At 35.3% G+C, this 17,406-nt stretch overlaps 1 protein-coding gene across 3 annotated transcripts in view; it reads left to right on the top strand.

Moving 5' to 3' along the window:
- The window catches only part of KCNH5 (potassium voltage-gated channel subfamily H member 5), a 345,995-nt gene that overhangs the window by 225,926 nt on the left and 102,663 nt on the right, over nt 1-17,406 (top strand). For 2 of the 3 annotated variants that reach the window (NM_172375.3, NM_139318.5), the window contains exon 9: nt 16,952-17,204. In NM_172375.3, coding sequence (NP_758963.1) covers nt 16,952-17,204 — 253 coding nt within the window. The remainder of the gene's footprint in view (nt 1-16,951; nt 17,205-17,406) is intronic. The other variant, XM_047431275.1, reaches the window with a different exon arrangement.

Raw genomic sequence — 17,406 nt, 5'->3', positions numbered from 1 at the left:
TAATTCCAGAACATTTTCATCATCCCCCAAAGAATTCCCATTCCCATAAGCAGTTACTTTCTATTTCAACCTCCCCTGCACCCCTGACAACCACTGTTCTATTTTCTGTGTCTATGGATTTGTTTATTCTTCTCATTTCATATAAGTGGAATCATATAATATGTGGTCTTTTGTTACTGGATTCCTTCACTTGACCTGTTTCCAAAGTTCATCCATATTGTGGCATGAATCAGTACTTTATATTTTTATATCTAAAGAATATTCTTGGCCAGGCACGGTGGCTCATGCCTGTAATCCCAGCACTTTGGGAGGCTGAGGTGGGCGGATCACGAGATCAGGAGATCGAGACCATCCTGGCTAAACAAGGTGAAACCCTGTCTCTACGAAAAATACAAAAAATTAGCTGGGCGTGGTGGCGGGCACCTGTAGTCCCAGCTACTCGGGAGGCTGAGGCAGGAGAATGGCGTGAACCCGGAAGGCGGAGCTTTCAGTGAGCTGAGATTGTGCCACTGCACTCCAGCCTGGGTGACAGAGCGAGACTCCGTCTCAAAAAAAATAAATAGATAAAATAAATAAATAAAGAATATTCTTTTGTATGGATTTCCTGTATCTTATTTACCGATTCATTATTTGGTAAGCATTTAGGTTGTTTCCTGTAACCATTATTTTGACATGGATCTTCATATAAGTGGAATCATACGGTGTGTATAGCATTTAATTTGTAAATATAATGGGGTTATATGTTCATTATATGACTGATAGACATTAGGGTTGCTTCTAATTTTTGGCTGTTATTAACAAAAATGTTGTGAAATTCTTGTATATATCTTTTTAATAACATATCTACACACTTCTTTAGTGTATATACCTAAGACGTGGTTTGATGGGTTATAGTGTTGGTTGATGTTTAGTTTTATTGAAAATTACCAAAGAGTTTTGAGTAGTGGTATGCTATTTGACATTTCTACTGGGATACCCGAGGGTTTTGGATGTTCTACATGTTCTTCAAGACTTGATACATTGTCATCCTTTTACATATTAGCCACTGTGATGTGTGTATTGGTATTTTATTATGATTTTAATTTATCTTTTTCATACTTAATGGTTTTAGAACCTTTCGAAATTTTTATGTTAGAAAATTATTTTTTATTTTTCTGCTTTATTGAGGTATAATTGACAAAAATTATATGTATTCAAAGTGTGCAATGTGAGAATTTGATATATATGTGAATGACTACCAAAAGCAAGCTAATTAACATATCTATCATCTCACACAGTTACCTTTGTTCTCTGTGTGTGTCGTGACAGTTATTATTAATTACAGTCAACAAGGTGCACATTAGGTCTCTAGAACTTATTCATTTTATAACTGCAAGTGTGTATCTTTTGACAAACATCTCCCCATTTCTTCCACCCCCCCCCCGCCCCCAGCTCCTGGTAGCCACCCTTTACCCTGTTTCTATGGGTTTGAGTTTTATAGATTCCACATATAGGTGAGATCAAGCAGTATTAGTCTTTATTCATCTGGCTTATTTCACTTAGCTCAATGTCCTCAAGGTTCATTCTACGTTTTCACAAATGGCAAGATTCCATGCTTTTCCAGTTTGAGTAATAGCCATATATATATATTTATATTTATATTTATATTTATGGCTATTATATGTATATGTATGTATGTGTATATATATGTCCATTATATATATATAATATATATAATATATTCCTAGAATATATATAGAATATATATATATATTCCTAGAATATATAGGAATATAATATATTCCTAGAATATATTATTATATAGAATATATTCCTAGAATATATATTATTATATAGAATATATTCCTAGAATTTTCCATGGCAGTAATGCATGCATAAATAATGTGTAAGAAACAACATATGCACCATAATAAATATAATCGACATATAGTAGATATAGCAAATACATATTTGACATGTAGCTGATAGCCTGCTGGCTATTCCCATCAAGTGAACCATTTCCATAAGCTCTCTTCACTCTTTTTCATTCTTTTTTCTCCTCAAACCGAATATTTTCAAATGACCCATCTTCAAGTTCACAGATTCTCTCTTCTTCCTGAGCAAATATGCAGTTGAATTCTCTATTGCATTTTTCACTGTGTTCATTGTATTCTTAAGCTCCAGAATTCCTGTTTGGTTCTTTTTTGTGACTTTATTTATTGAACTTCTTATTTTGTTCACGTATTACTTTTCTGATGTCTCCGAGTTGTGTGTGTGTGTATATATATATATTATATATATATGATATACTATAATATATGTATTATATTATATATAATATATAATATATGATATATGATATATAATATATAGTATATTATATATTATATATTATGTATATGTGTGTATATATATATTATATATTATAATAAATATATTATGTCATATATAATTATATATAATATATAATATATATATAGATACACACACACAGAACTCAGAGACATCAGAAAAGTAATACGTGAACAAAATAAGAAGTTCAATAAATAAAGTCACAAAAAAGAACCAAACAGGAATTCTGGAGCTTAAGAATACAATGAACACAGTGAAAAATGCAATAGAGAATTCAACTGCATATTTGGTCAGGAAGAAGAGAGAATCTGTGAACTTGAAGATGGGTCATTTGAAAATATTCGGTTTGAGAAGAAAAAAGAATGAAAAAGAGTGAAGAGAGCTTATGGAAATGGTTCACTTGATGGGAATAGCCAGCATCCTATCAGCTACATGTCAAATATGTATTTGCTATATCTACTATATGTCAATTATATTTATTATGGTGCATATGTTGTTTCTTATATATTATTTATGCATGCATTACTGCCATGGAAAATTCTAGGAAGCATACTTGTGCATATAAATATTTAAATAACTATACTTTTTTGTCTATTTCAGTGGTTCCAGAGGACTAAATTCCTGAGGCAAACTTTACTTATAATGAAGAGTTTAATTTACCAGAAAGCTCAGTCAAATATTGCTATCCTATTTCAACTATAACTAATAATGTAACAGGCTTTACTAAATGAAAACATATCGATCAGGGTCTGCTTTGTTAAGTGTCAGCATAGTGGGAGAGTGAAAGGAAGAGCTTGTACTCTTTGAAAGATTTCTGATTTTATTTTACATAGTCAGTTTACACATACATACACTGATATATATATATTTTTTCACACATACACGCTGATATATGTACATGTATACATATACACACTGATATACTTATATAAATCTATAACCTATGTAAGTGTTAGTGTTGTGAAAAAATGTTTGAATATGATTTCAATTGCTGAACTATATTTTGTTTTATCTTGTTTAGCTTTTCTTACACTTAATAATTTCCCAATCTTTTCAAGATAACTTTGTAGCTGTTATTTTATATATACTTGATTTAAAAAATCTATATGCACACAGACACATGAATATACACACATATGGCATATGAGAATATGTATGTATGTATCTGAATATATATATATTCTTTTATATCATCAACTCTCAAATTCTTTTTGGATTTAGAAGTAATATAAAAAATATAATCAATCAATATATTCTTTACTTCATTTACTACTCTGTGACCTATTTTGACTACCTTTACTTTCTACAGTTGGTGTTTTGTGTGTGTGTGTATATGTCTTAAATTGTATAAATAATTTGGAAAGACAGCTTACTTTACTTTGCTCTCTCTATTGGAAGACTGGTAGATTTAAACATCAACTTTCAAAATCACAGTCATTCCAAGAAATAATTTATTTGGCATCTCTAATTTCTGTTTCATGTATTTATTTTTTCTCTTTAAATACTACCTGTTTGTTTAATAGGTAACTTTGTTTATAATGTAAACTTTTTTTCACCATTGAGGTATAATTTACAAACAAAAATTGCATATATTTAAGGTATACAGTGTGATGTTTTGTGTATATATATGTAAAATGAAATAATCACTACAGTCAAACTAACCTGTATTACTTCATACAGTTATCCATTTTTTGTGTGTGTGGTGAGAATATTTAAATATTCCTTTTTAAACTAAACTTTTAAAAGTAAATTTAAAAAATTGAGATATTACACAATACTGATAAGTGAACAAATTATATTATAAATAAATAGTTTGATAAAATTTCACAAAGTGGACACATGTGTAGCCAGGATATTAAAACCTTATTATCAGAACCCCAGAAGTCTATATCCCATGTCTTCTTCAGGAATTAACCAACTCTGGCCCTCAAGAGTAATGTAAACCTTGACCTTCAGCACCAGAAATGAGTTTTGCATTTATGAACTTTATATAAATGGATATAGAGTATACTCTTTTGTATCAAGCTCTTTTTCAGTCAACATTATGTTGTTGAGATCCATGGATTTATCCTATATATAGTTGTTACTTCTTTCATTCTCATTGCTGAATAGCGGTTCATTATGTGACTGTGCCACAATGTATTAATATTTATCTATTTCAACATTAATGAATCTTTGAGTAATTTTCAGTTTGGAGCTATACCCACTGTATATATGCTATACCCACTGTAGTTCACAAGATTCGCTGCATATATACAGACATTTCTCTTGCATATATATCTGCAAGTGAAATTCTTGGGTCTTTGAATATATGCATGTTCAACTGTTACAATATAGCCAGATGATTTTCCAAAGCACCTCACTCCCACTTCGTATGAAGTGACTCATTCTTTTTTTTTTTTTTTTTTTTTTTTTTTTTGAGATGGAGTCTCGCTTTGTCGCCCAGGCTGGAGTGCAGTGGTGTGAACTTGGTTCACTGCAACCTCCACCTCCCAGGTTCAAATGATTATCCTGCTTCAGCCTCCCGGGTAGCTAGGACTACAGGTGCCTGCCACCACACCCGGCTAATTTTTGTATTTTTAGTAGAGATAGCGTTTTGCCATGTTGGCCAGGCTGGTCTCAAGCTCCTGACTGGCTCATTCTTTTAAGGATGGGAACATCACTTGTCATGGGGACTAAAAAGATCATGGCCAGTAGAAAACAATATTGTTTGTATTTTTCTGGGCAGTAAATACACTTAAAAGTATATTTCTAATTTTAGAAAATACTTTCACAGGTATGTAAAAGCACTGTTATTTAGTCAAATATCTGCCTGTAAGACAGTAAAGACACGAGATTAAGAGCAAAGCACAGTAGAAGCTCTAAATTTCATCAAAGCCCTGCCTTTGGAAAGCCAGTGGCCCAAGACATTTGCTGCCTAACAAGTTAAAAAATGGTAACAATTGCTGTTTGTTGTTACTGCAAAACTAATATTGTGAAAAACCTGGTAGAATTGGTTCACGATGATTCTGAAGCAAAAACTTTAGGTCTCATTTTTATATATGAAGTCTAGTCACAGGAACTTTATCTCTAAAGTGAAACCAATGAGGTTTAACCTATAATACTTCACTGGTTGCGGCAGCCTTTTATTGCTAAATATGACCTTTTATTTTTAAATAATGGAAGTTAATTTGGTTTGGTTTTATTCACTACATTGTTCCTGGGTTATTTCCTTGGAGGTTTTGACACCCCTAGAGATTGTCAGAGTGACATCCAGAGAGCAACTTCCTTTTGCTTGGCATGACTGCATGACTGCCTGGTTATACTTTTTATTTCCTTTAAATATAAAGGTGAGCTTTCTTTTCTTCCCAAGAAATGAATGAGAATTAAATTCCTGTAAAGAGCTACTTAAGCTCCTCATTCCCAGGAAGGATTGTAAAAATATTTTATGTGCAAATGTCACTTGCCTGACTCTCTCCACTGGCTTTCACTGACTTAATAATACCAGCTCCATTAGATTCATGAAGAGAGATTAATTAACAGTGCATAACTTAATTGTGTCAAAAGAAGGAGAGATTTGGTGGTAGCTCCAATGTCTATCAAAATGTCATTAATGCATTTATTCCTTTGTCCTAAAAATAGAGGGATCATTTAACTTATTCATTATTATTAGAAATAGCTGATACTGAATTATTCCTGAAGAAGGATTTTATAGATAATCAATACAATAACTTAGAGCAGTAAAAGACCTCAAGAAGAAGCCTTGTTTAGTTTACTACCTTCAGGCACTTAAAGTGAAATTATCCTCATTATCCCCATTTGCACATTAGAAATTTGTTATAGCTTCATTAATAGTGTTCAGTCTGTGAACACTGAGCTAGAGGGTAGTGGTAGTAGAATAACTTCACTAAGACTAAAGATCTCCCAGATTCTGCCTCATTACACTATACAATTCTACTTTTGTTTCAGGTGAAATTGCCATCCCTCTTTCAAATGCATTTGGAAGATTAAAGAGAGATATTATTAAGAACATGCAACATACTCTCATACACAGTTGGTTAGAGTGTAATTTGGTTTACCTTTTCTAGGATGCAGTTTGGCAACAGCCTTAAAGATGTTTTGGCATTTTACCTACTAATTTTTCTTCTAAAAATTTGTGCTTAGACAATCTGATATAGGTACAAGGTTATTTGTTGTAACTTGATTTATGAAAGGGAATACTGGAAATCTTGATATCCAATTATAATGTAATGGTTAAATTAATTGTGCCATAAATATTTGATGGGATATTGTACAAGGATTGAAATTTGGTTTTAAAATATGTATTTCATAGCATAGGAATTGATTATAATGTGATAATGAGTCATTATAGCAAGAAATAAAATAGTAGAGTTTGAAGTTTTGTAACGATGGTATCTACACATAGATAAGTGTAAATAATGGAAGAGTTTTTTCCTCTATGATTTTTATTTTCCATATTTTATATAATAAATATTAAAAAGCATTTTAAGTATATTCAAAGAACGAGTGAGAAGATAAAGCCTTCTTTCTTTGACTCTCTCTAGTCAACCATTTCTTTAGAGGATTTTGGTTTAATTTATTGCCTTCTCTGTTAATTATCATATTTAGACTCCCTTATCTTCTAAGGTTTTGTGACATTATTGATACCATAGTGCATGAAAGTGATAGAGGGAAGGGACCCAAGGAAAGTAACATTTATCAAATGCTAACCTCTGGCTCAGGTCCTTTTCATGTATACAATAAAACTTGTGTTTCAAATAAGATGTCTTCCTCTGGGTGAGTAGTAATGTGATATAACAACTTAACAGTGAATCCTATGTCTTTATCAACATATTGAAGTATGTGATACATTTGTTGGAGCTGAAATTAAAAAGTGCTTAAAGATGGAAATAAATTGGCAATGAAATTTAGGCTGTTCTATGGCAGTGGCGGGGCATTTATGGTTTCCTAATAAATAAACTATAGATTTGATCAATTGGACCTTAAATAATTTTCAAAAATCAGCATTTTAATTTTTTTAGTACAGAGAACCAGAAAACATGAGAAGGTACCAGATATTATATTTTTTTCCTGGTTGAGCTTCACGAAGGAGCGTAGCTTAATAGCTGGAACTCAAGAGTTTGGGGTTTTGCTAGTAATTTGTTGAGAGGACTTGAGCAAGTCACATAACCTTTATGAGACACATTCACTTTATCTGTAAAATGGCAGTGAACTAGGAACAGTGACTTTTCAAACCATGCCTAATTGGATGCTTCAGGGGAGCAGGCTCAATAAGAGTTTTTGCTGATGGATCTGGAGGGCCTGTATAGTACCAGGCACATAACTAACACGTAACCAGTGCTTAATAATCATCAGCTAAATGAATGACTGAATGTGCTCTAAGCAATCCTGCCTGGGAGTCTGCCTTTCCAGCGAAGCTTCTGTCAGCATAATTCTGCTTATTTCTAATTTATATGTTGAGCATAAAGGAAGGTGTTCATTAAAAAAAGTAAAGAATGATTTTATGGTTGAAACCAAGTCTGAAATATCTATTGATAATTCTGTGTTACTATTTCTGGTTATTATTTAAAAACAACAACAACAAATTACAACACCTCTTACTCTCATTTTCTTCTATGTATTACTAAATTCTATGAGAAAGCTGTGTCTATACTGTATTCATGGTAGAAAGAAGGATAATCTGTGCTTTGACAGATAAATCAGTGATGACTAGACAGAGAAAGGGAAGATGGGACATGCCAGTAAAAAGGAAAAGCATGTGTGAAGGCAAAGAGTAATGGGAGAACATGGCAAGCTTAGGTGGTGAGAAAGGTGATGTTATTGGAAGGCATGGTTGGAGGACGGTAGTAAGATTGGAGCAGGATTCCACCATAAAGAGCCCTGTATGCTTGGTTAGGACTTTGGCTGTAGTTGGTGGGGAAGCAAGCCATCAGATATTTTAAGAAAACAGAGATGACATGATAATATATGTGTTTCACTAAGAGTTCTGTAGTCAAAATGTGGAGGTTACATCTTTGGAGCTTGAGAATATTTGCTAAGATACCTCTTGACTTTGGGTTTAGTGAATATCATAAAGAATTTGAAAAAGGTTTTCTTTTTCAGACCATGACATTCATTTTTTTTTCCCCAGGGTTGTTTTGCAGAATTCTGAAAAATGGTTTCTTACATACTGTCATTGTTACAGGACCCCAACACTTACCCAAAGATAGCCGTTGGGTCAGGGTTTCTGCACTACAGTCCCTTCTGTGGTCACCAGAAATATGTTACAGGAAAGCGGTCCTGATTCAGACCCCAAGAGAGGGTTCTTGGATCTCATGCAAGAAAGAATTCAGGGCGAGTCCACATTACAAACTGTGACTTATTAAGCAAGTTTATTAAGAAAGTAAAGGAGTGAAAGAATGGCTACTCCATACACAAAGCAGCCCTGAGGGCTGCTGATTGCCCATTTTTATGGTTATTTCTTGATGATATTCTAAACAAGGGGTGGATTATTCATGCTTCCCCTTTTTAGACCATATAGAGTAACTTCCTGACATTGACATCGCATTTGTAAACTGTCATGGCACTGATGGGAGTGTAGTAGTGAGGATGATCAGAGGTCACTCTTGTGGCCATCATGGTTTTGGTAGGATTTAGCCAGTTTCTTTACTGCAAGCTATTTTATCAGAAAGGTCTTTATGACCTGTATCTTGTGCCAACCTCTTATCTTATCCTGTGGCTTAGAATGGCTTAACTCTCTGGAAGTGTAGCCCAGTACGTCTCAGCCTCATTTTACCCAGCTCCTATTCAAGATGGACTTGTTCTAGTTCGCATCCCTCTGACATTTCCCCCTCCCCTTTATAAGAGAACCCTTAATCATAAGGGTTGCAGAGGGATGAAGATCCACCTTCTGTAATGTCTTCAGGCTTAATAGGGGTGATGATATTCCTGCCTAACTATTAGGGTCTCTTGTGTTCAGGTAAAGAGGAGCTTAGTCAGAAAACATCAGTATGGCGAGGGCCATTTATAACTCTTGAGTTTCGACAAGAGGTGATATCTGGAAGATTGATAAGTGTTTAGTTTAAGGAATCATTCAGTAAGCTTGTTCTGTATTCCTACACAAAGAGTATAACAGTAATATATTCCACAAGGGCAAAGCAAAATGAATAAAGTTATTCCAGGTAAACTAAATTAGAAGACTTTTCATGAACTAGGCAACTGTTGGAACTAAGCTGATATGGGCTTGTTAGCTGATTGTAATATGCCCAGAATTAGAATACTGATCCAGGTTTTTATATTACCCATCCCTCTTGTTTCTTCTAAACAGCAGTCAGAGATCATTGGTTGGTTCACAGGAATGAGCAGGGTTAGCCTAAATTGCAGAAACAAACTTAAAAACAACTACTGAGACTAGAATTTAGTAATACGTGTACCATAGTTCTTGAAAAATAATATTTCTCTCTCCAGTTTCTCATTTTTACTAAAGACAAATTCCGGTAAGACTGATTTGCTTTATTAGACTTGGCGTGATAATTTGTATAAAGTTCAGCAAGAATAATTATATTTCACATAAGCTTCTTAATTGGCTTTGATAGAACTCTGTTTCATAAGGAATCTCATATAAGACTTTTTTAAAGCCAAGCCCTGCCATGGGTTTGTACCCTCAAATACCTATGAGTTGAGTAAATTCCTCTCCTTTTGAGGTTCCACGATAACCTGTGGCTCCTGGACCTGTGAGAAAGTGACATTCTTTACTTACCATAGGTCAGAAACCCTGTAAAGGGACTGTGTAGGCAAGGTATGAGGCTAGTTCCCCAAAGGGCTTTTATTGGCTCTACAAGTCAAGTTTGATTCCTTAAAGGAAAGCAAACCATTCCAGTCAAAGTCTTGGTAAAATAACCAATTTCTCCAGTTGTGTCCTGTTACAAAATAAAACAGATTCTTATTGCACTTAAGCAAATAACTATATTGCCATAAGTTAAGAATACTCATAACTAGTTTCCAAATTCTGGAGAAATCAGTTAGAGAGAAACAAATATGTTCTAAATTTTGTTCACAGCAGTATACTTTGCTCAATTGCTACAAGCTGTAAATAGCTCAAAAGAAAAGATTCTTTGACTCTGAAAAACAAAACAAAGGCTCAGCAACGTTTTAAGCAAAGTTAAAAAGTTTTCTATTGGTTAAGTTAATTCAATTAACTCCTGTTCTGTTTGATATTCATGAACGTTCCAGCTCTTCATGAGAGTTCTGAAAGTTATTTTCTCTATTCTAATGTTACAATTTCCAAAGGTATTAGAAACCTGTGTTTAAGAACACCTGCTAGAGTTCTATAGTTTATTACAAACCACCTTCTAAAGAGGATTAAAACAAGGCAACAGTTGACTGTGGTTGATAAAAAGTTTTAGGACAGCCACAATTAAAGCCACAATTGATAAGGAACTTTGGTTACTTCTGTGGCATACACAGTTTTACATAACAATTATAATTATTAATAACATACACTAAGTCATATTAGAATTACAGGAGTTTCCCATAACTTTGGAACATATACCAGTAACATATTTATGCAAATACAGTCCAAAGAAAGCAAAACACCATTTCACATTTGATAATGCTTCCTGTATGATTTTTATACCAAATAAGCCAAACTTCACCTTTATAATAATGTACTATTAATGTTAAACTGAATTTTTCATAAAACTTTATAGACATATTAACTCAATTTTAATGTTTAACCATAAGGTTAGATTCTTATAAACCTTTTATAACCCTTTACATTTTTTTGTGAAAGAGCAGATCAGTGCTCTAAGAAAAACCTGTTGTGCTTCTATTCCAATGTTTAATTTACAGAAAAACTGAATAATACCTCTTTAACTTTAGCCAATATGTTTACACACAGAATCTTTTACAGTTAATTTTTATAAACCTTCCACAACCTGTTTAAATCTTTAGCTTTATTCTATCTAACTTAAAACACCCTTTACACACAAAAAAATCCACATTCCCAGGCCTTCTTAGAATCTTTTACCAAAAGTCCATTCCACTTTCCTTACACACCTTACATGTAAAACTGTATCTTCAGTAGTCTCAATTACATGTTATGTTATTAACTTTTAGTGACTTTTACTTTTGGTGAAAACCCTGGTTGGTAAGCAATTTTAATCATGTACTAGGTGTGGAGCCTAGCCTAAGATATACCAGGCAGAAGTGCAGATAAGAACCAACTCTCCAGCATAGCTAGGGGGCATGACTAACTCCACACGTCCCTAGGCCTTACCTTACTTAAGAAGGCAAGTTGTACAGTAAGAGTTATAGTGTCATTTTATGAAGCATTTAGGAGGCCTAACAACCTTTAAATTGTACAACATTTTTTGCATAAATTCCCTTTAACAAATCCTTTCGCAGCTTACACAGACCATCTGAGACATTCTTGGACTTTCTGACTTGCTCTAAACATCCCTCCTTTTAAACAACCAGTCATTTTACTTTAGGACAAGAATTTACGGTACAAGATCCTTTTTTATATAAAATCTCTTTCTTTATAATCTTTGTATAGCTAGGGGGCATGGCGAATTCCACATGTCCCCAGGTCTTATCTATAATCTAATGGCTTTAAGGTAGGTAAATTTAACAATTTTTAAAAGTTCAAGAAGCAGTTTATGACCTTAAAGCATTTAGCAAACTTAATATCTGACCTGCATAATTTAGACTAAATGTTTTTATTTTATTAATAATTTTTAAAGCTGTTTTTATTTTGCAAATATTACTAAAGTTACATGAACTAAAAGGCATTATAGTTTTTTATTTTGCTTTCAGAATATTGAAGTGCTTATTTTTGTTTCAGCCAATTAATTAGAGCTCTTTTATATAAACATTACATACAACATATATATAGCTACACAGAAAGACAGAAGGTTACTAGAGTAGTTGTCAGATTTTTCATATGCAAGTTTCTGAGTTATTATTTGGGTTACTGTGTTTAGGTTCATGTTTTTTATTTTTTGTTTTCTTTGACAGAGTCTAATCCAACCTCTGACTTGGAGTTTCAACAAGTGGTCTCTGGGCAAGATGGTCACCCTGAGTAATAGAAATGATAAGAAAGGGAAAGGAGAGAGAGAAAAGCATTGCCTGTGCAGTGTGGGGAAGGCAAAATGATCAGGGAGGCCAGAGAAAGACCTTCCCATTGCAGTGACACTGAAAAGTTCAGGCAGCTGCTTCTTGGTAGCAAAGGGATCTTTTCCAGCAATCCTGTCAGCTCTCAAGTTTCCCCTTTCAGGGAGGAAAAACCTCCCCATATCCCACAATCCTGTACATGCCTAACCCTGTCACCCACAGCCATCAGCAAAGAGAGCAAGGCAGATTAATCCAAAGAGAATAGCAGTTAACATCCCATAGTGCCAAACCTGTTCTTAGCTGAGAGGGACTTTACCAAGAGGGGCCTCTAACCCCCTAAATCTTAGAAGGGACTCTAACCCTCCTAAGTTGGGCCTCGAACCCAATGTCAGTCAGGCATCCTTGCCTTTTATTAAGAGGTGCCTCTAACCCACTCTGTCTTGGGAGAGACTCTAACTCCCCTAAGTTGAGCCTCTAACCCAATCCCATTCTTTATCTGGGTTGCCCACCACTTACCCAAAGTTATCCAGTCAGTGCTGCGGTCTGCTTCCTTTGTAGGGAGGGTGGTTTCTTCAGTATCGTCCCTTCTGTAGTTCACCAGAAATATGTTACAGGACCCCAACACTTACCCAAAGGTAGCTGTTGGGTCAGGGTTTCTGCACTATAGTCTCTTCTGTGGTTGCCAGAAATATGTTACAGGAAAGAGGTCCCGATCCAGACCCCAAGAGAGGGTTCTTGGATCTCACACAGGAGAGAATTCAGGTCAAGTCCACAGTACAAAGTGAAAGCAAGTTTATTAAGAAAGTAAAGGAATAAATGAATGGCTACTCCATAGAGCAGCCCCAAGGGCTGCTAGTTGCCCATTTTTATGGTTATTTCTTGATGATATGCTAAACAGGGGGTGGGTTATTCATGCCTCCCCTTTTTAGACCATATTGGATAACTTTCTGACGTTGCCATGACATTCGTAAACTGTCATGGCGCTGATGGGAGTGTAGTAGTGAGGACAATCAGAGGTCACTCCGTGGCCATCTTGGTTTTGGTAGACCAGCTTCTTTACTGCAACCTGTTTTATCAGCAAGGTCTTTACGAGGTGTATCTTGTGCCAACCTCCTATCTCATCCTGTGACTTAGAATGCCTTAACTGTCTGGAAATGCAGCCCAGTAGCTTTCAGCCTCATTTTACCCAGCACCTATTCAAGATGGAGTTGTTCTGGTTCACATGCCTCTGACACCATAGCTCTTACAAGAAAATTTATTGCTCATCTTAACGAGTCTAATTTATTAATATTCTGTTGCAAAGAGGGGACAAACAACTCTGAAAACAAACAAAAGTCACTTTTAACCTAAGTATTTTCTTCTGAAATATAATTTTATTTGTTTGTAACTATGAAATCCTCATTAGGAAACCTACCTACAATAAATTGGATCTGATATTCAAGGCAGAATACATGGAAAGTGAGACCAGTGGGCCAGGTCTTGAATGATAATTTTACTCCATCCCTTAAAACCAAGTTTTGCCTTGGCTAAGACTGTGATTAACATTTCATTTCCAGAGTAAATAACAAGATACTTATATTTTGATGACAAAAACATCATGTAACACACATGCTCTGTCTAAGGTTGGAGAAGGAAGGTGCTTGCCAGTGGGTGTGACTTTGGTTGATCTTTTTAGCATTTAGTTTTACCTTGTCACTTTTTGATATCTGGATATAAGTAGATACCATCAATCAAAATAATAAATCAATTAGTGTCATATGTTAAGTGAAACAAAAAAGGAAAGGTGTACTCATAATGTAATAAAATCCTCTTTTGACATGCCAATAAACAGAGAATATTGCAAATACTGGACTATTTCATTTGCAACATGAATCCTGAAAAACATTATTAAAAGGAAATAACATGACTATTACCAAAATGAATAGAAAACAATGAAAGTCCTATGTGGTAAATGGATCAAAATAGAGCAGTCTATTTTTCCATTAAGGTATTCAGTGTAATGTTTGTGTATGTGTGTATGTATTTAAATTTTTTCGTTCTTCTAGAGCTAATTTCATTTTCAACTGGGAAAAAAATATTAACCTTAATCAGTGCTTAAAATATCTTCAGGTTTGTGCTGAAATATTTTCTTAATTCTGTCTGGAAACCAGTCAAACTGTCCAGATGAAGACTGCAGACAGAGTGGAAAGTGAAAAAAGAAAATTGCTTTTGTAGAGAGTTTAAGCAACAATAAACTCTGTAGGAAGACAGATGTTCCGTAGTGATGATAAGAGCTAGTATTTCCTCTGCCCTTGCTATGTGCCAGGCTAAACTAGGCTCAACTCATGCCCTTTCATTTAATTTCTGCAATAAGCCTAAGATATAAGCACTATCATTATCCCCATTTCACAGATGAGGTTTAGAGGAATTAAATAAGGTGCTCCAGGTTACAAAGGTTGTGATAGTTTTGAACCCAGACTTACGTCCTCTTGAGCCTGACCTTTTTTGCTGCCTCTAAGTAAAGACTCACAGGCAGCACATGCTTTTATGTCACTCTGGCCATGCTCCCATCATACCACTTTTTTCATTGTATTGCAATTGTCCCTTTACACGCCCACCTCCCACACTTTCTGGTTAGCTAACCTGAGGCAAACACAGTGTCTTATCCTTCTAGTTCTGAGGATTTAGCACAGTGATGTGACCCATTGTGGAAGCTCAGTAAGTGCCTATAGAATGACTAATATATTGTCCAAAGTCAGTAAAGGTTTATATATTAAATAAAACATTGCCTTATAGAAAATAACTGATGTGAAAACAGCGTCAATTACTTTTAAAGCTGTGTTAGGCATTCCTTTCCTCAAAGATCAGATTTTTCAGAAAGGTGGGTGAGCAGATTGCTGCTGCCTATAGAAATTTGAGGGAGTATGAAAAAAACCCAGAGATGATTAAATAATGTGAAATGTATGTAGAGCATTAAGAAAGGATAAGAGAAGGGATACTGAAAGCATAATTTAATTAATGGTTTTTGCATTTATGATGGGCTTGTCTTCTCTACAGGGAAGCAACCCAGTTTTCATTGATAGTGACCCCCAAATAAAAGGAATAGTCAGGGGACATTTTCAAGCCTTAGGAAATTTTTTAAAGCTTAAAATGCAATTAGTAGAGGAAAGAAAACTATTTTATATTTATTAAAATATTATGCAGTATAACTTAATGGGGTAAATCAATTTAGCTTCAGCTTTGAGGGATTGAAATCCGATCAAAGAAAATCATTTCTGGCTATAAAGAATAGTTTACAAAGGGGGTTTGAGGAGGATTCTAAATGAGTTTGCACTTGCATCTTTAAAATGGGTGGTATTAACTTCCGCAATCACATCTTGCTCCACGATGTTCTGATTAAATATGATGATAATGTCCATTTTAATGTGGGTCTTTAATCACCCTGTCAGAAAGCTGTAGCCAATAAAAGCTCTCTACCCCTTGCTGTATAAGCATACTTCTGCCATTTGCTTCCTCTTTTAAAGGATGCCTACAGCGTGAATTCTGCTACTGCCTGCAGTAGTCTTCAGAAGTCAGAGACCAGAATGAACAAGGACTGCCATACAAAATAACATACCCACCCTGCCAGCACTGACATTTCCAACCACCCAAGCCTTACAGAAGGCTGGTCAATACCCTTGTCCCTTCCTGGACATGAATTTATTTGTAAAAGGAAAATCTTCAGAGTGAAAAAAATATATCAAGAGTGGAGTTAGTCTGCCAGTGCCAGTATGTCAAGTTGCCAGGGTGCTTTTGTTGATTTTGTTTTCTGAATCCACCTCCAATGTGGAATTTTGATTTAGTTATAAAAAAAATTCTGAAACATCTGCTAGATTAAAATGAATGTTCATGCCCTATTTTACTTGACTCTTTGATGAAATGACATTAACTTTTTTATGAGACTCTTCTTGACCACCTCAAAACTGTTTTGTTTTTGTTTTGAGATAAGGTCTTGCTCTGTCACTCAGGCTGGAGTGCAGTGGCACGACCTTGGCTCACTGCAATCTCTGTCTCCTGGGATAAGGTGATTCTCCCACTTCAGCCTCCCAAGTAGCTAGAACTACAGGCATGCACCACCACGGCCAGCTAATTTTTGTTTTTTTTGTCTTTTTAGTAGAGACAGGGTTTCACCATGTTGCCCAGGCTGGTCTCGAGCTACTGAGCTCAAGTGATCTACCCGCCTTGGCCTCCCAAAGTGCTGGAATTACAGAAGCCACCATGCCCAGCCAAGGCTGTGTTCTTTCTGAGGGGAGATCCATACTCTTCTCAAAGCATTTACTACATAGTTCTGCATTGTCATGGTCCATATGCTCATCAGCCCATCTCAGTGGATTATTACCTCCTTGAGAGCGGAGCTGTGTCTTGTTCCCTTTGCCTTCCCAGTACCCAGCAAGGTGTGTAGCAGTGTAGCAGACATAGTCATAGTCAATAAATATTTGTTGGATGATTGTTTTTCTGAAGTGGCCCCTTCCTCTTTCCTTTTCACTTATTCATCTCTCACCTTCTTTAGGTCCTCTCCATCTGTCCCAAGGACATGAGAGCTGATATCTGTGTTCATCTAAACCGGAAGGTTTTTAATGAACATCCTGCTTTTCGATTGGCCAGCGATGGGTGTCTGCGCGCCTTGGCGGTAGAGTTCCAAACCATTCACTGTGCTCCCGGGGACCTCATTTACCATGCTGGAGAAAGTGTGGATGCCCTCTGCTTTGTGGTGTCAGGATCCTTGGAAGTCATCCAGGATGATGAGGTGGTGGCTATTTTAGGTACTGTGAACTTTCCTAATGTAGTAGCAAATGCGTAGTAACAGTTTTAGATATTTTGCTTTTCGCATTTTTAAAGAGAAATTTCCTTTGTTTGGTAACTTTGGAAATTGGGTCACTAATGAGACGTGAATCTTAATGAAAACTAATAATGCTATTTCAGCAGAGAACATTAGTATCAGTCACAACCTAATGGGCTGAGTTT

This window comes from Homo sapiens, chromosome 14, assembly GCF_000001405.40.
Source record: "Homo sapiens chromosome 14, GRCh38.p14 Primary Assembly".
Classification (NCBI taxonomy): Eukaryota; Metazoa; Chordata; class Mammalia; order Primates; family Hominidae; genus Homo; species Homo sapiens.
This window is presented reverse-complemented; position numbering and strand designations above follow the sequence as displayed.